The sequence below is a fragment of the Homo sapiens genome, chromosome 6 (genome assembly GCF_000001405.40).
Source record: "Homo sapiens chromosome 6, GRCh38.p14 Primary Assembly".
Taxonomy (NCBI): domain Eukaryota; kingdom Metazoa; phylum Chordata; class Mammalia; order Primates; family Hominidae; genus Homo; species Homo sapiens.
The window spans coordinates 72,834,522-72,855,110 of record NC_000006.12 but is presented as its reverse complement, the minus strand read 5'-3'; the positions used below and the strand labels follow the sequence as shown (position 1 = coordinate 72,855,110).

The window sequence follows — 20,589 nt, the reverse complement described above, 5'->3', positions numbered from 1 at the left end:
TGAGAACATAATAATTTATATTGGGTGAGGCTTGGTGCTGTTTCTTTTCTAATGTGTGATAATTGATGATAAAACAATGGTCATTGATGAGTGAGTGCTTGTATAGCACTTCTTGTTCCACTAAATGAAGGGAAAGTATCATTATCCATGGTACAAAATGTCAATATCAAGAGCCATTTGCTCAGTGAGGCCAGGGACACTAGAAATGATAATTATGTCTTTCCTTCCACAAGGCTATGTAATTAGAATTGGAAAATTGTGAACTCATAAATGACACTTCTCAACCAGCGTTATAAAGTTAATCTGCTTGCTCTAATCTACGCACGCACACACACACACACACACACACACAAACCATGGTGTGTGTGTGTGTGTGTGTGTGTGTGTGTACAAAGAAAGAGAGAGGTTGTTACTAACTCCTTAACAAGTCATTTAGATATGATTTTTTCATGTTTTGACATTATAAAAAAGATGAATAGAAAGCACAATGCCTCAAAGGACTGAAGTATAATAAAAGAATCCTTTAACATATCCTCACACTTATTCTCTCTTTTAAGACTTAATGATAGACATCGTAAACTTTTTTGGATTATTTTTAAAAATTTCAGCAGAATTTCATAGTAATATTGAATTTTTTACATAAATGAACACATATTAATAGTAAAAAGAAATTTTTTTTCTAATAAAGCTACATAATCTGTTAACAGTTTTGCGATCACAGATAATACTCTGATCATCCCATATTTAATGCTGTCTAAGTAAAGTGTGATTATAATTATTTTATATGTACCATTAGTTGGCTAATTTGAAAGTTCAATACAACCAAATTTTAAAAAAAAATTTATTTATATTCATACATCTATTTCCCCCCTTTTCTAATGTTACTACTTTTCTACTAAGCAAACTAAAAGCATGCTTTTCTACTAAGTTGGAAAGATCTGCATTATATTTTCAGAGAAGAACTCATTTAAATCTCAAAGGTAATGTTGCATGCAGGTTCTTAAGCGTTCTCATGGTATATCCGTTTATTAGGTCATTGTAACCTCATTGCACAGATACTTCACTACAGAGTAGGGCACTGGCATGATTTGGTCTGTCATGGTCCCTGTTAGAAGTGGTTTACAAAAAATGGCATATTTATTCCACCTAGGAGGTGTGCAGAAAGTCATAAATATACCTTTAAGTTTCAGTGTGCATAATAATAATCCAACTATACATTTCTCTAAATGTTTATAAGAAACATGATAATTTGCTACAAAATAAAAATGAATGGAAATGGAACTGTAAAGACTTGGGCTATTGTTGGAAAGGGTACTACTGATGAATTACTTTGGTGTGTTACATTTATACTGAATCCTCTCCTTCCCCAGGGTTGCTTCACTTCCCTTCAGTGCCTGTTAAGCTTCATTCCTGCTGTTGGATGCAGGACAATCACTCAACATGGCTGCACATCAGCCAGGGCTGCCCCACAGAAGGGTGCAAAACAAAAATTATTTGCTGGCCTACATTCAAAAAGAGGTGGGCAGATTACTTGAGGCCAGGAGTTCGAGACCACTTTGGCCAACATGGCGAAATCCTGTCTCTAATAACAACACAAAAATTAGCCAGGCGTAGTGGCACGTGCCTGTAGTCCCAGCTTCTCGGGTGGTTGAGACAGGAGAATTGCTTGAAGCTGGGAGGCGACAGTTTCAGTGAGCTGCGATGGCACCACCGCAATCCAGCCTGGGCAACAGAAGGAGATACTGTCTCCCCCGCAGCCTCCCAAAAGGAAAGAAATGTTCAGTATTGTCTAGGATCCCACCTGAAGTTCAAATTTAGAAAGAGGGCTTAGAATCACAAAATCTCAAAGCACTTTTTACAGAATTTAAGAGAAATACATATGTCTTATTCAACTGTCTATTGGATAACTGTCTATTGGAAGAAGGGGACATAAGATGTACTTTCTTCGCTTTGACTAAAGTCTATCAGGAGGGAGGGATAAATTGATATAAAGGATCAACATAATTATTTACCTAAGAATTTTGCTAGGATAAATTGGTGGTGTGCTACTAATTATTTAATAATCAATTCTCCAGGAAAAATAAATGCTAATGCACAGCATTTGCCATTTTCCATGGTATAAATACTTCTGCTATTGTAAGCTTTAAAAAGAGATGTCACTGACTGTGAAGTTGGGAAGAAGTCTGTAATGGTAGCTCTCTATGATATAATATTTCATCATGTAGAGATAATATATAATCCCAAGAACATAGGCAATACAATAATTAGAGAGTGATGAGTCTGGAGTATTTATTGTTTTTAATGTAATTTATTTAATTATGTTTATATAATTGTTTGACGTGTGTGTTTAAAAATGGGCTCATAAAATTCCTAAAAAATTATTTTATCTTTTTTTTATTGAGGTAAAGTATACATATAAAATTTAACATCTTTACCATTAAGTGCCATTTATATATATATATATATATATTTCCCCTTCATCTCCTTCTCTCCACTGCCCTCTCTGGTCTCTGGTAACTACCAATCTACTCTCTATCTTCACGAGATCCACTTTTTTTTGCTCCGATATATGAGTGAGAGCATGTGATATTTGTCTTTCTGTGGCTGGCTTATTTCACTTAACATAATGGCCTCCAGTTCCATCCATGTTGTTGCAAATGACAGGATTTCATTATTTTTATGGCTGAATAATATTCCATTGTGTATATATACCAAATTAAAAAAAAATCCATTCATCCATTGATGGGCACATAGGTTGATTCTATATTTTGGCTACTGTGAATAATGCTGCAATAAACATGGAAGAGTAGATATATCTTTGATGTATTGATTTCCTTTCTAAAATCCAGAAAATTTAACATCCAGCTCTCACAAGCTTGTATGAGCAACTTCCAGCACATCACTGGGGTAGGTAGACATTCATGTTTATATAAATATCATGAAATATGTCCCATTTACTCATACTTAAATTGTTTGTGTTCTCTTTAATATTGCTAAAGAGTTCATTTTAAACACTGTTAGGAAGGCCACAGAGAACCTTGCTGTTTATTAATTAATTTTACTGAAGAAAAATGAGAAACAGAAAGGATAGTAACTACTAATAGTATGTGTATGTGTAGTTATATATGCAGTGAACTATCTCCATCTCTAGCTACCTATTTTTACATTATACGTATCTAGATTAATAAGGTGAAATTTATTGATATCAATCTACATATAACAAATTTATTGATATCTACATATAAAAATCTTGTTGTGGAAAAAGTATCTCAATTATTTTCAAGAAAAACAACTCTGTAAAATAAAATTTTACCAAACAAATAATAACTATTCTTAACTTTATTAATAAGTATAGGTAATTTCTTAAAGTATTAATTTGCCCCTAAAGTGTTTACAGAATAACTTAGATTTTATGTAAATGAATGTAGAGGGTGGAGAGAAGTTGATGGGACTCAAATCAGTTGAATATATATCACAGACTGAAAATGTCTAAAAGCTACTTTGGGTAAAATTTGTGTTTTGCCTTCTACATGCCTTCTTCAGAAAATGATCTTTTTGGTAAATTGCAAGCCATGACAATAATAGTTTAGGTATTAAAAAAACAAGTGGGAATAAAGCTTTACCCAGAAAACTATGACATTTAGATTGAAGGACCAATAGCTGGGCTTGCTTAGATAATGGGAGTCTTTGTTGAGCTGGTCCCAGATTAATAGCTGGAAATGAGCTCAGTTCCTGACTGATGAGTGCTAATTAATACAGATAACTGTTGACACACATTACAAGAGACACAAAATTGTATTTTGTAGAAAGTGTCGTTGAACTAATAATTTCAGATGTATGTTGACAAGTTAAACTAGTAGGGATTTTCAGCAGCTTACAAAATAAATTTGCAAGATGTTCACTGAGTCCATTAAAAAACCTTCATATGAATAGCTTTCTAATGTTTGAACTACTTGAAAAGGTTATAACAATACCATCCTTAATCTGATAATACATTGTTTTAATGTGATGATTTCTTAAATTATTTTGAAATTTGATAGAACTTGAGAAATTTCTCCCTTTTATTATATGTGAACCTACTTCTAAGCAGACTATTATTTTGAGGGTTTTAATATCCTTGCAAGAATCTTCCTGAACACGAGGAGTATCTGTTAGTCAAAAAGCAAGTTTTCTTTTTCTCTCACTCTTTTTATAAATGTATAATGAATCATCACCAAGATTTGAGGCACTCCATTCAAAAGAAATGAGAGATTAGGAGATATTTAGCCCATGTAAAATATAATTTGGTCATCATATCTTTGTCTTCCACTGGGCCAAGAGTCAGGGATACATATTAATAAAGCACACACCAGCTATCTCAAAATAACAGTCTTAGGCAAGTAGCATCCAACCAGGAAAACCTGGTTGTTTAGAGAAGCTCCAGCTATGGCTGTGACCTGGAAAGGCAGCATTCTTCCATGTTTACATAACAGGTTCATCTGAGGATTTCAAGTACTTCACAAACATTCACTTGTCAATTATCACAGCATCTCCAGGAACTAAGTAAGTGTGAAAGATTATTATTCCCACAGGAGATCCGGGGACAAGAGTCATACCAGAGATGTCTTTTCCAGGAGTTACAATGAAATTGACAGAGTGCTGCTGCTGTGTGTGTAGTAGGCGCTCAATAAAAATAATTTAATAGATCTGAATCTTAGAGCAAGAGCTAAAAAGCCATAGCTCTGCCTCTCTTTTACATAGAAAGCCGACTTTGAGCAACTCTGAAATGAATGCCATTATAGATCGTGCCAACTGTGCAAGCCATCTCAGATAAGTAAACTACTTTAGATTCAAACTCAAGTCCAGACTTTGACTCATATTTCATTTGTACTGGACAGCAATTCTGTTCTCCATGAAATTGGCTGATGTAAGACAGAGCCAGCCTTATATCTATTACCTGACAATGTGCCTTCCTAGAACTCATACAAACTTATTCTTCTAAATAAGCATTTTTTATCTTGGGTAAAAGAAGACCCTAATATTATAAAATTTCTTGTCTTAAAAATTCATAAATTGACTAAGTGTGCAAGGAGGAAACCAGCATAAGTTGACGTCTTCAAAAAACATTCTCTGTAGACCCAATATATTTAGATAAGGAATATATTTGATGCAGAAAAATGTTAAATAGTAGAATGTTTAAGATTTATTTTGGGGTGTGTATTATAAATTCCAACAAGTTGGTGACTCTGGGAGCCATTTATGAATTACTAGAAATAAATCCACCACTGAGTAGAGAGAGAAAAGATTCATGAGTAGAGAGTCAAGACCCGATAGGATCAAGACCTGACAGGATCAATGTTTCAAAGACTCTTTCATTGTTGATGAATCCTCTTGAAGAGGACCTCTCTCTCCATAAACATAGAGGGCTATGTGGAAAGAAACATTGATACATTGTTTAAGTTTTAAATTGCTGGAATTTTTTATTTCTGTCTGCTTGCCCCCTTTTCCCTGAATCTGTCTGATGGGCATGTAGTTCTTGCAGATCATCAAATTTTCACATGACAACATGAAACCACATGGCACCAGTTTATGACTCAACTGGACTTCTCAAACCTATTTAAAAACAGTGCCTTTTGAGGAATCAGAAATATCTTTCTATCATTAAAAATACAAAAAATAACAGATGTTGGCAAGGATGCAGAGAAAAGGGAATGCTTACATACTGTTGGTGGGAATGTAAATTAGTACAACCTCTATGGAAAACACTATGGAGATTTCTCAAAGAACTAAAAATAGAGCTAGCATTCAATCCAGCAATCCCACTACTTGGTATCTACCCAAAGGAAAAGAAATTGTGATAGCAAAAAGATACCTGCACTTGTATGTTTATTGCAACATTATTCACAATAAAATATATGTAATCAATTTAAATGTCCATCAAAGGATGACTGCATAAGGAAAATCTGGTGTGCATGTGCGTGTGCATATGTGTGTGTGTGTGTGTGTGTGTGTGTGTATGTGTACATACGCTACTCAGCCATTAAAAAGAACGAAATCATTTGCCACAACACAGATGGAACTGGAGGCTATTAAGTGAAGCAACTCAGAAACAGAAAGTCAAATATGGCATTATATTAGTCTGTTCTCATACTGTTAATAAAGACATACCTGAGACTGGGTCATTTATAAAGGAAGCGGGCTTATTTGACTCACAGTTTAGCATGGCTGAGGGGACCTTAAGAAACCTGCAATTATGGCAGAAGGGGAAGCAAACACGTCCTTCTTCACATGGCAGCAGCAAGGAGAAGTGCTGAGCAAAGCGGGAGAAGCCTTTTATAAGACCATTAGATCTCGTGAGAACTCACTCACTATCACAGAACAGCATGGGGGTAATCGCCCCCACGATTCAATAACCTCCCACAACATGGCTTCATAGTGGAGTGGAGTCATGTGGATATGTTTAATCTTGTCAATCAGATGTCTGAAGGCTGAAGTGATGTTTTTATAAGTTGTCTGTCATTTTTCTTTGGGTTAGATAGACTTTTAGGGATGGGTAAAGTTATTTGAGTTACAAAACTAGGTCAGGGTCCCCCTCTCTTCATTCCAAATTGCACAAGAAAACTTTAATTTTAATCTTGTTAACTAAATATATTTGTTATTAATGAACCAGCATTAGTCAGTGTTAATGTTGATCAATGTTACATTCTTGTCATGCGTAAACTTTATCACTATTAAGGGGAACAACACATACCTGGGCCTGTCGGGGGTAGGGGGATGAGGAGAGGGAGAGCATCAGGACAAACAGCTAATGCATGCAGGTCTTAAAACCCAAATGATGGGTTGATAGATGCAGCAAACCACCATGGCACACGTATACCTATGTAACAAACCTGCATGTTCTGCCCATGTATCCCGGAACTTTAAGTAAGAAAAAAAAAAATGGCTGTCCTGAGAGTTTATCATAAAGATATTTACATGAGGAGGTCACTGTTGGCCTTTCAAGTGCTTAGGAAATACCACAGCTCTGGTGTCCTTGCCTCCTGGGGACATGAACTAGACTAATTTCAGGTATTTCCTTTAAAATTGGATGCTTTTCATTGGGAGTTTTTTTTTTTAGCTTTTCTGGATGGAGATACAATGCCAGAAATTCAAGGGTCTCTTCAGATATTCATGGCTTGTGATATATTATTTTGATTATACCAGTAAATTTAATGTAATCTTCTAAGCTATTTGGCTTTCCCGATCTAAGGAAGGTGCTACCACTCTAAGTGTCAGAGATGGTTTGGTTTGGAAGTCTCCATGAAGAAGAGTGGGTGCAGAGGATAGAAGCTTTCCTCTATGTCTTAGTCTGCTTTTTCCTTCTCTGAAAGTTTCATTGTCTAATGCAAATACAAGTGGTTGGTCATATACATAATGGCAAGCTGCCATTAGCTAGTACTTTTCTGACAGCAAGCATTGAAATACAGGGGATGGAAGGATGATTGGAGGAGGAGCAAAGCTCATTGGGAGAGGAAATAGAGGCTCTGGGGAGATCTAACGGGGTTTTGAAAGACCAAGTTTTGACTTTTAAGCTTTGCCTAAGGCCAATTCTCAATTAAATCCTTTACTCTTCCACTTCTGGTAAATCGCTGTTGTCCACCCCCAATCACCACCACAACCATATAAAGACTCTGTTGGATGCAGTGGCTCACACCTGTAATCCCAGCACTTTGGGAGACCAAGGTGGACAGATCACCTGAGGCCAGGAGTTCGAGACCAGCCTGAACAACAAGGAGAAACCGTCTTTACTAAAAATACAAAATTAGCTGGGCGTGGTGGCACATGCCTGTAATCCAGCTACTCAGGAGGCTGAGGCAGGAGAATTGCTTGAACCCACAAGGCGGAGATTGCATGAGCTGAAACCGTGCCATTACACTCCAGCCTGGGCAATAAGAGTGAAACTCCATCTCAAAGAAAAAAAGAAAACAACAACTTTATTGGAGTGCAAGGGAATTTTTTTTTAATTTATTTTATTATTATTATTTTTTTAAGAGACAATGTCAACCTTACAACTTTCTAGGATAAAAAAAGCATCAGTAACTATCCACTTTACTTTCTATTTCAACCCATATATCCCCTAGCACAGAATGTGGAGCAAGGCAGAAGTTTCACATATGGACTTTAAAGGAATGAGGCCTGTTTTGGGGGTCTTTTTAAATAACTTATTTATCCAAATGAATAGGATCCTCATCAGATCTTCCAACTTAATGGATTACACATTTATAATAATGCCTTCATTACTCAAAACATTTTTGGAATTGATTAAAGTAAATTGCAATAGGACCTTTTAACTACTTTGACAATTGGCACATTTTCACCATTTGAGGATGAATTTGACACTTTTAACAGCCAAATGTCATTCAGAGCCAAGTTTGGGAAGGAAGGTACATAAGCAGTCAGGGCAGTCCTTTTTTTAGAAAGAGCCTTGCTCTGTTACCCAAGCTGAAGTGCAGTGGCACAATGGTGGCTCACTATAGCCTTGACCTCCTGGGCTCAAGTGACCCTTCTGCCTCAGCCTCCCAAGTAGCTGGGACTACAGGGCATGTGCTACCTTGCCTGGCTATTTTTTTTTTTTTTCCCCTGTAGAGATGAGGTCTCACTATGTTTCCTAGGCTGGTCTCAAACTCCTGAGGTCAAGCAATCCTCCCACCTCAATGTTGGGATTACAGGTGTGAGCCACTGTGCCAGGCCCCACTTCAATTTTAGAAGAAGAGTGGTGAGACTATGAAGCCATTAGGCTACATTGTGTAAGACAGTGGCTTATTAATTGATTCTAAAATCAGTTCCCAAGGATAGCTCCACAACTCTTTGAGAAATGGTGATGCCATTAGTATAGGATGAGAGTGTTCCAGGGGACCTATTCTGAAACTATATATATATGAAACAAATGTGATGTGTTTGTTTAGTTTTAAGTCTCATTTTTTGACACTATATTCTGTTGTTTGATGATTTCCTCTAAGCTGGAGTAGTTTGCATTCATTCTTGGGACACTTAACAATCGTTCACCCATTAACATACTGCTGATGTTAATAAGCAGAGTGGTTGAGTACAAACCCAATTTATGACACTTTGTATTGTGTCACCCTGAACAGGCTTCCTAACCTCTCTGACCCTCAGTCTCCTCATCTGAGTAGAAATGGCTATAACATTAGCAGTGGGGATTCAGTGAGTAAATGCATGCATTACCTGGTGCCCATGATAAGCATTCCATAAATGCAGCTGTCAAAAAAGTTTTACTGACAGCCCACTTTGTGCCTCTTAATCTGCTACCAACATTTCTAATTTGGGATTAAACTGAATCAAAATAATAACATAACGAAATTCAAATAAAAATAATAGTGAGATAAACACCACTTTAATATGCTTATTTATTTAAAATTACATGAATATAAAATCCTCTAAACACCTTCACAGATTTATCAAGGTAACTGCATCAGTGACCGTAACATGACTTTGTTATGACAACAGGAGCTAGATGACTGTTATTTTAAATTCATATATGCTCTGACTCTGAACATTCCCATGAATGCAACTGATGTTTTCATCTGAAAGTGTTTAAAATATAATAATCATTACCTTCATATAACAATATCTGATATCTGAGTTGTATAGAAATAGTCTGCATAAAACTCTGCTACCATTCTTTTGAAAATGTGACACATCTATGGAGGTTAAATAGCTTTTGGATCAAGGTATAAGTGAGATGGTGTTCTAAAAAGATCTCTTCTACTGTTTCTGATAGCTGAATCCATGGTGAGAATCCATATCTGACCCATGGGTTGGTGATGCTCTATCTTAGTGTTCATTAGGACAAGACTCTGGAGGTTTATTTTCTAGTGACAAATGACCAATGCTTACGGTCATTCTTTTTGCTAGTATTTGTTTACACACTCACTGTATACATACTCTGCAAATAAACAGTGCACCTGAATTTCTCAGAAAGTGGGCAATATTAGAAGTACCCTTCTATTAAAGAGGATGTTAAAGAATAATAAAGTCTTTTCATAAGATTTTCCAAACAATAGTTTTAGTTTAAGATTGATCCCATCCAAGGTATGATTTCCCAGTTATTTTGGCAGTTGCAATTATAGTTTCTTGGACTTAACTGCTTAATTAGGAGCCTTTGGAAAGTTTCACGTCAAGCTAAAAATATTTCTAATGTACACTTTCTGCTTACTCAAAGCTGCATGGAGCTATAATTTACGAAGGAAACTTGTTTCCTTAATTGTTGTGTCAGTCAGCAAAAGCACAGGGAGCAGGCACAGAATAATCCGTTTATATTTAGCTGTACCAGTGGCCACGAAATGTCACAACCTTCATGTAATTTAGGGAAAGGTTAGGGATGTCATTCCTATAGGACTGATTACTTTACAATTTGTTTTACTTTTTAAAATTGTGTACTTTGCAGGATTTTTATGGAGGCCTTTTATTTTCATTGGTATAATTTTGCTTTTATGCAATACTTGAAGGTGAAGACTTGAGTCAGGCTTACTAGTTGATCCTTAAGTTTGGGTATGCATTACAAAAGTTTAGATTAATAGAAAATAAAGGGTGATATGTACAGTTTGAATTATACAGGTTAGGGGTTTATCTTATAGTAATTCTACTATTTTATACTGTCTTAGGTTACTGAAGAATATGTTTCATTATAGAATGGATCTAGAGAATAACCTGAAGAGAACTGCACATTTTAAAGATGATTCTCCTATTTACCAAAGGTGACTACAGAAAAGGGGAAAAACAAAGAAAAGTAAATAAACAGGAACAATGCCTTGCATCTTTGTAGCACTCTCTGGCTTTCAAAGCTTTTTTACATCTATAACTTGAATCTTTCCAGAGAGAGCTTACAAGGTATGTCCTTATTTGATGAGCTCATTCCCTCCAAAAAGCACTGTGTCTTGCAGTGGTTACTAGCTTAATTTTTTTTATTATTATACTTTAAGTTCTGGGATATATGTGCAGAACACAGAACATGCAGGTTTGTTACATAGGTATACGTGTGCCGTGGTGGTTTCCTGCACCCATCAAACCGTCATCTACATTAGGTATTCCTCCTAATGCTATCCTTCCCATAGCCCCCAGCCCACTGACAGGCCCTGGTGTGTGATGTTCCCCTCCCTGTGTCCATGTGTTCTCATTGTTCAACTCCCACATACGAGTGAGAGCAAGTTTGCTGAGAATGATGGTTTCCAGCTTCATCCATGTCCCTGAAAGGACATGAACTCATTCTTTTTTATGCTGCATAGTATTCCATGGTGTATAAGTGCCACATTTTCTTTATCCAGTCTATCATTGATGGGCATTTGGGCTGGTTCCAAGTCTTTGCTATTGTGAACAGTGCTGCATATGTGTGGATGTGTCTTTATAGTAGAATGATTTATAATCCTTTGGGTATATACCCAGTAATGGGATTGCTGGGTCAAATGGTATTTCTGGTTCTAGATCCTTGAGGAATTTCCACACTGTCTTCTACCATGCTCATGGATAGGAAGAATCAATATCGTGAAAATGGCCATACTGCCCAAAGTAACTTATAGATTCAATGCTATCCCCATCAAGCTACCATTGGCTTTCTTCACAGAATTGGAAAAAACTACACTAAATTTCATATGGAACCAAAACAGAGCCCATATAGCCAAGACAATCCTAAGCAAAAAGAACAAAGCTGGAGGCATCATGCTACCTGACTTCAAACTACACTACAAGCCTATGGTAACCAAAACAGCATGGTACTGATACCAAAACAGATATATAGACCAACAGAACAGAACAGAGGCCTCAGAAATAATGCCACACATCTACAATCATCTGATCTTTGACAAACCTGACAAAAACAAGAAATGGGGAAAGGATTCCCTATTTAATGAACAGTTTTGGGAAGACTGGCTAGCCATATGCAGAAAACTGAAACTGAACCCCTTCCTTAAACCTTATACAAAAATTAACTCAAGATGGATTAAAGACTTAAATGTAAGACCTAAAACCATAAAAACCCTAGAGGAAAACCCAGGCAATACCATTCAGGACATAGGCATGGGCAAAGACTTCATGACTAAAATACCGAAAGCAATGGCAACGAAAGCCAATATTGACAAATGGGATCTAATTAAAAAGAGCTTCTGCACAGCAAAGAAACTATCATCAGAGCAAACAGGCAACCTACAGAATGGGAGAAAATTTTTGCAATCTATCCATCTAACAAAGGGCTAATATCCAGAATCTACAAATAACTTAAACAAATTTACAAGAAAAACACAAAGAGCCCCATCAAAAAGTGGGCAAAAGATATAAACAGACACTTCTCAAAAGAAGACATTTATACTGCCAACAAACATATGAAAAAAAGGTCAGCATCACTAGTCATTAGAGAAATGCAAATCAAAACTGCAATGAGATACCATCTCATGACAGTTAGAATGGCGATCATTAAAAAGTCAGGAAACAACAGATGCTGGAGAGGATGTGGAGAAATAGAAACACTTTTACACTGTTGGTAGGAGTGTAAATTAGTTCAGCCACTAGCTTAAATTTAAGAGTCAGATGGGTGTGAATTATAATCCCAGTTATGCCACTTCCACCAGTATGATCTTAGATAAACTACATTGTGACCTGAGAATCAGGTTCTTCTTCTGAAAAATGAGGATTACTATAACGGTTTTACAAATTGTCTGGCCAATACAAATGAGCACCATGTATGCATGCAGTATGCATTCAATGAATCATAGTTGTCAACTCTTCTTTTTATCATTCCTATTGCTGTCTAGCCCTACAGGCACAGTGAATACTTGCCAGCTATCGTAAAAAGACAGGGGCCAAAGTGCAATGGACAGTGGAGACGTAATGATTTATTAAGAGAGAAAGATGTTTCTCTCTCATTGTGGAAGTCATTTCAACAGATGATGCTTCCACATCCCATCGACTTCCAATGTTTTCATTAGAGTTGACCCTCCTCCACCAGAAACCTCTTTAGCCTGATCTCTCCTGAACCCTTGCTTCGTGATGTGTGTGAATGTCCAGTTAATAGAATTTACTAATCCTATTATATTTCTTATTTGTTCTATTCTTGAGTTAGTTTTGATTAAAGTTACTTTTATACTTTATGTGCATTAAGCAACAGACAATGTGATAGCAATTAAGGACCCCTTGACAACCAAGATTCATAGTCTTCTAAAAGTTATTTAACGTCATCATCTTTTTGGTACATGTTTTATGCTATAGTTGATTTGAATGTCAACATTCCTCAAATGTTTCTTAATAATTACAGTAATTAATCTGATATTGGTACAAGTCGACAGATGAGCTCCATATCTTTTAAGAAAATGCTGGGACTTTGTTTAATTAGGATTACATATCCAAATGAGAGAAAGAACATTTTCATGCTTATATGAAATATAAGGAATATATATAGGAATATATAAAGGAATAATCCGGTATAACATTGGCAGAAAAAGGGCTAAGAGATTATGGGGAATAGAAAGAGCATGTAAGAAATATGGCACTATACTCTTTAACAGTTCGTTTTAGGAGGAATATGCATGAGAAAGAATGTAGAAATTTAGAGGTATTTCTTTCAATATCCTAAGCATTTTTTTAAATTTATTTTCTAAATTATCCACTCCAGTTGTCATCAATATCCTAAGCATTTTGCAACAAAGGTCTGCATGGAGAGTGACATGCTATACCTATGACGTAATAAGGAAAGGAACAAGTCCATAATTACAGCAGTAAAACAAGTTGGAAGAATGGGATGCATGCAGTTCAAGAAGGTGTTTTCAAGCTAGGTAGAAGTTTTTGATTCAATATGTTAATAGGAGGCACATAGCTTGTCTTCACCATTAAGGGTTCATAGTCAAAATAGTGGTAATGCAAAACTAATAGAAATTATGATAGTTTTACAAGCAGTGAGCAATATGCAGTGTGGTTAGAAAGGGAGACTATGAAGAGGTGTAGGATTTAGCTTGCAGTCATGGCAGTGACTGAGGCAGTAGGTGAGATTTAAGTTGGACTTTCTTGGCAATTCTATATTACGTATTGTAATGAATTACTCAGAACATGGTGGTAAAGCTCCGTAGTTACTTGAGAGCAGAATTAATTCTCAATAGTCTGGATACTTTAGTGCTTTAAGTGAGCATCTCAGTGAAGGTGAGGACCAGGGGCAAATGTAAAACATAACCGTAGACTTCATGTAAAACAACCATCCATAAGCTTAACAGTATCAAAATAACTGTGTGTGCTGGTGCCATAATATGCATACATTATCAGAGCTGCTGCTCACAGAAGACTGTCCACTGCCTAGTCCGTGGATCATAAACTTCATACATTCCTATATTATTGCAAGGTGTTTCTGGCAAATAGTAAAATGTTTTTCTCTATAAAATCAGTATAGGAGTTTCCATTTGTAATCTTGAAGAGTAAGCTCCTAATTGAACCTCTTGCAAATAACAACTGGTCAAAATACAGAAAAACAACTAGCCGGGGGGCTTGGAGAGTGAACAAAAGTAGGAAGATTTTGAAGGGGAGTCAATACTTGGAGTAAGTGACTGGTATGGGTTGAGTTTCAGATCTTCACAGTTTTATACTGAGGGTAGCTGGAGCAACATGAGGAAAGAGCCACTGGAGAGTGAGCTGGGGAACTTCATAAAGGAGAGAGCCTGAGAAAGAGGACTCCAAGTTTTGTGTATAAATTCCGCTCAAGTCTCTTGCTATTCTTTTAAGTATGCAAGCACAGGACACAATAGAAGCATTATGAAAAACCATTATGGAGGATCTTTAAAATACTAAAAATAAAATTACCACATGAGCCAGGTATCCTACTTCTGGGTACATATCCAAAGGATTTGAAATCAGTATGTCAAAGAGAGACCTGCACTCCTATGTTCACTGCAGCATTACTCACAATTGTCAAGATATAGAAACAACCTAAGTATCCAGCAGTGAATGAATGGATAAAGAAAATGTGGTATATATACACAATGGAATGCTACTCAGCCTTAAAAAAAGATAATTCTGTTATTTGGATGAGTTAAACAGTCAAACTCATAAAAACACAGAGTAGATTGGTAGTTACCAGAGGTTGGGAGGGAAGGGAAATAGAGAGATATCGGTCGAAGGGAACAAAGTTTCAGTTAGACAGGAGAAATAAATTTTTGGCAGATGAGAATTCTACCACCGAACCACCCATGCACTGATATGAGAAATAAGTTTTTGAGATCTATGGCACAACATGGTGACTAGAGCTAATAATGTGTTGTATTATATATTTTGAGATTACTGAAAGTAAATTTCAAGTGTTCTCACCATAAAAAATTACGTGAGGTAATAGATATGTTAATTAGCTTACTTAATCATTCCATATTATATACATATATCAAAACATCATGTTGTACCCCATAAAAATATACATTTATAATTTGTCAATCAAAAACTTAAAATAAATAAAAAACAAAACAAAAGTACTCTGAATGGTGAACTGAGCTACCAATAACTGCAGGGGAGATGGTTCACAGTTTGAGTCTAACCAAGATAATTGTCTTTTAAAGCAAAAACATCAACAACCTTTAGAGTAATGTAATAGAATCCAGAGTCCCCACAACATAATCCCTGCAGTGTCCAGGATAGAATTCAAAATTATTTGACAAACAGCCAGGAAAACACGATCTACTTTTAAGGGAGAAATAACCAACAGATGCCAATCCAAAGATGACACAAATTTTGGAATTATAAGGCAAATATTTTAAAGCAGCTATTAGAATATGCTCAATATGATAAAACAAAAATGCTTGTAATGTATAAAATGATATGAAATCTCTTCAGAGAAAATAAAAATAATAACACCAGTATACCAAGACAATTTCCAAGCAAATGGAAGTAGTATCTGCAAGAAAGTGTATTTCTAAATAATTTTCACACAAGAACTGTATGGTTGTTAGTCAAATACACAGTCCAGAAAAATACCTAAAACCTACTGCTCTCGAAAGGCCATAAAATAGTTAAAATTAACCATGAAAAAAATCATTTTATATACTTGGACTCAGTCCTATGTAAAAAGTGAACTAAAACATTATTTGGCAATCCTAGGTGAGAACAAAAATATGCAAATTTCACACTCAGCTCCATATTCTTTTTTTTTTTTTTTTTTTTTTTGAGACGGAGTCTCGCTCTGTCGCCCAGGCTGGAGTGCAGTGGCGGGATCTCGGCTCACTGCAAGCTCCGCCTCCCGGGTTCACGCCATTCTCCTGCCTCAGCCTCCCGAGTAGCTGGGACTACAGGCGCCCGCTACCACGCCCGGCTAATTTTTTGTATTTTTAGTAGAGACGGGGTTTCACCGTGTTAGCCAGGATGGTCTCGATCTCCTGACCTCGTGATCCGCCCGCCTCGGCCTCCCAAAGTGCTGGGATTACAGGCGTGAGCCACCGCGCCCGGCCTCAGCTCCATATTCTAACAGACGTCTAGAGAATAAAATATATAATAACATTTATAAGGAGAATACCAACTATTTAAAATGGTGTGAAGTGAAATTTCTCACAAATTTGTGGTCTGTAACTATTTTAAGTGTTGGTGTTTCTTTAGGTTATATGATACAAAATATATAAACATAATTCATGAAAATTAAAGTGATATAATTTGAGAGCAGTGTTGTTAAGCTATGTTTTTAAGTTATGTTTTATATACATTAGACACAGCAAAGATGGTAGGGAATATCTGTGAGTGATTACTGAATCTCATTTACTGATTTCCTTTTACAAAATATTATTTTTTTCAGGGAGTATGGAGATCTATTTTATTCTACTTTGGGGACAACTTTCTAGCACACTGCACAAGAAGCAAAGGAAGTATTCAATCAATACTGGTGTCCATAGGAAAAGAGCTACTGAAGTCTCGGACATTGATATCCTATTTAGAGAGTTGGTGACAGAGGGTGGTGTTTGAAGAAACCGTGAAAGAGCTATCAAATAACCTGGTGTCGGGGCCTGTTGTGGGGTGGGGGGAGGGGGGAGGGATAGCATTAGGAGCTATACCTAATGTTAAATGAAGAGTTAGTGGGTGCAGCACACCAACATGACACATGTATACATATGTAACAAACCTGCACGTTGTGCACATGTACCCTAAAACTTAAAGTATAATAATAAAAAAAAGGATGAAGAATCCAAAAAAAAAATAACTTGGTGTCCATAACATATACTATCAGGTTTCTATTTAGCCAGATTAATTCAATGTATAGTGTACTTTCCAAATATTTAAGGTAAAAAACCTATAACATGTTTAAACATATATAACATGCTTCAACATATATATAACATGTATATATAACATGTTTAAACATATATATGTTTAACATATTACATCTTTAAAAAACATATAACATGACTTCTCTGATCTATTTTTCCATGATATATGAATATCTTATGCTGGCAAAAGGAAGCAGTATAGCAATGGAAACCCAGTATTACTGAGAAGAAAGTCCTTCATTTATGCCTTTTACATTTGATGGATTTTTGTGGCTAAATGAATACATACTCACCATTTCAATGTAATCATTACCATGTATATTTTCTCCAATGAGACTGAAAGGTCAATATTCACAACAATATTACAAGTTTCTCTGACATTCCACGTAACACCTAGTACAGGTGTTACATACAAAGGCAAGGTACTAGACAATGAAGAGCTCAGAATTAAGAAACAATTATCTGGATTCAGATCTGGACAAGTAACTTCAACTTTCCAAATAATAGTTTCTTCATATTTTAAGTAGGAATAATATTAACAGCTACCTCATGATGTTGTTGTGTGTTTTGTGTAGGATACAGCCAGTAAAGTATGTATATTAGAACCTGGAGCATATTAAGTGTTCAATAAATAGCAGTTGTTATGCTTATACTATTATTTTACTTCATCAAAAATTTGTTGAATGAATGAACAAATGAATAATGACGTAATTTTATTAATTTGAAAATTTGATGTAATAGTGGTCTCCAGGAGGTGCTAAGTGGTTCATTTGAAGGTTTATATAAAAGGTGAACTAGAATATTATTTAGCAATTCCACATGAGAACAGAAATATGCAAATTTTCCACCCAGTTCCATATTCTATCAGACTTGCAGGAAATACAATATATTAAGTTAAAAAGAGAACACCAGCTATGAATCTTATGGCTAGATGAATTCCAGTTATTTATCAGTATTTACAAATTGCTATGCATTATCAAAAGACAGAGGGTGGGACAGAGAATGGAAATAAAAGGATAAAACAGGCCCAGCTCTGCTCTCAAAATCTCACCACTTTCCTTTAGAAATTGAAACAATAAATTACCTTGTATAGACAGTGATCCCAGACATTGCAGAAAGCTGGAGATTATAAAATATATCAAAGTGTTTACATAAAAAATGAATGTAAGTTTGAGGCAAGAGGATTGCTGAAGCACAGGAATTCAAGACCAGCTTGGGCAAAACAGTGAGACCCTGTCTCTACAGAAAAAAAAAAATTAGCAGAGTGTGGTGGCGCACATGTGTAGTCCCAGCTACTTGGGAGGCTGAGGTGGGAGAATTGCTTGAGCTCAGGAATTTGAGCCTGCAGTGAGCTACAATCATGCCACTGTATGATGAGCCTGGGTGATTGAGTGACCCTGTCTCAAATATATATATATACACACACAGAGAGAGAGCACCAAATTTGTAAATTCTTCTCCAGTTTTGCTCTAATAAATACAATAAAAAATTTTAGATACTTATCTGAGGGTCACATAATCATCAGTTTATTCTCAGAAACCCCATTTTCTACTTTTCTATCTGCCATCTAATAAATATTTCTGTTCTTAAAATACAGGCTTTTTTGAATAAGTAATTTGCAGCTTGACTAGATAATCTAATGAAGCTCATCATTCTTCTCACTCTCTGATTAGATTCATCCACCAAAATCTTAACTTCTACTCAAAATTATATTATTAGTGAGGAAGCTAATGAGGGCAAAACAAACTGCAAAAATAACAAACAAAAATAACAAGAACACCACCAATGTGGTCAGTGGCATTCTGGTAAATGTTTAACAACTGGGTCTCAATAAAACAAAACAAAACCCTAATTTGTAGCATTTGCCAACTTCTGTGGCATAAATTCCCTGTCTATGGCTCATTTCAAGCTACCAGTGTGATGTGTGAATGTGGAACTGAGAAGCAGCACAGTGATATACTATTATATAGTCATTCCATTATGAAGACACAATAGATGTAAATAAACCAAAGAGTTACAATAGTAAAATGGAGTAAATAATTAGAAAGTGAGTACTGAGTGTAGCGTAATGGTTAAAGAGCTTGGGAGGTATATGGATTTGAAACAGAAATGTGCCACTTTCAGGTTTTACTGGACAAATTCCTTAATCTCTCTACACCTCAGTGTTCTTATCTGTATAATTATAAAACCTACTCCATGAAGTTGTTGCAAAGATAAAATGAGGAAATACATGTATGACACTTGGCACAATGTCTGAAACATAATAATAATTCACTCCATGTATTATAATAAATAACATGGTTGATAAATTTACTCTACTCATGATAAAAATAGTGAGTGAAATTTCATTGATGAAAAAATATATTCCTTATTTTGTGATCTAAGAATCACAAAATTTTAGTCAATTTTGCTTCCTAGACATCTGATGGTACTCTACTATTAGAAACTGAAAGGGAAAAATGGCCTCGACCAATATAATTGATGCAATATTTAATTAGCCAGATTATGAAGCAGAAAGTAATTCCATACATTCTGGAGTACATCTGCAGCAAGAGTAAATAGGTTTCTTCTTGGGTATTAATTCAGATTAATTGAGCGTGTAATGTTGATGAAAATCCTGAGGTTGCTTCTAAGATTGGCAGGAAAGACCACTTTAATATACGAGCAATAGCCACTATGGTTAGTGATGGGGAGGAAAGAAACCATTATACACATTGACCATCCTTGAGCTGGGTCTATGCTTACAGTGTCTGGAGAAAATTCATGTTGTACCCTGCTTGTAAAGAAAAAAAAGTTACCACTTGAACATATTCCTGAGTTTGGGGGTTTCACATACTTGAAATGGAGGTCGACTAAGTAAAACATTTATAAAATTTACTTTATAAATTTATACAATTTATGATCAAATTTAGAGCCAGAAAACAAACCTGGCTCAATTTCAGTTTTGTGGAGGAAGGGCAGCTGGAAAATGAAATAAAGTGCATGGGACCTGGAACCAAAAGAAAATCATTCCTGGCTGTTTTTCTACATTCCATCTGAGAGCCATACAACAAAAATAGCAGTGCTGGAATATTATCTGGGATACGTGTTAATGGAAGTTACACATGCATGTTAAGAAAGATTACAGGCCTTGCTTTGGTTTTCTAAGGAGTATAAGAATTCTATTTCCACGTAAAAGAAGGAAGGCCAACAGAGTCTTGCAGCAAAGGGCCAATCCTAAAGTTTCCTTGAGCAAAAAGGATAGAATTTAATTGTGCTTCAGTCTTCTTATCCAAGGGTAGCTTATGTTCAATAGAACTATTTTGGGTAAACCCTGACAAGTGTCAGACTACCTGTAATC

At 35.9% G+C, this 20,589-nt stretch overlaps 1 protein-coding gene across 9 annotated transcripts in view; it reads right to left on the bottom strand.

Moving 5' to 3' along the window:
* The window catches only part of KCNQ5 (potassium voltage-gated channel subfamily Q member 5), a 576,790-nt gene that overhangs the window by 343,743 nt on the left and 212,458 nt on the right, over positions 1–20,589 (bottom strand). The window lies entirely within an intron of this gene.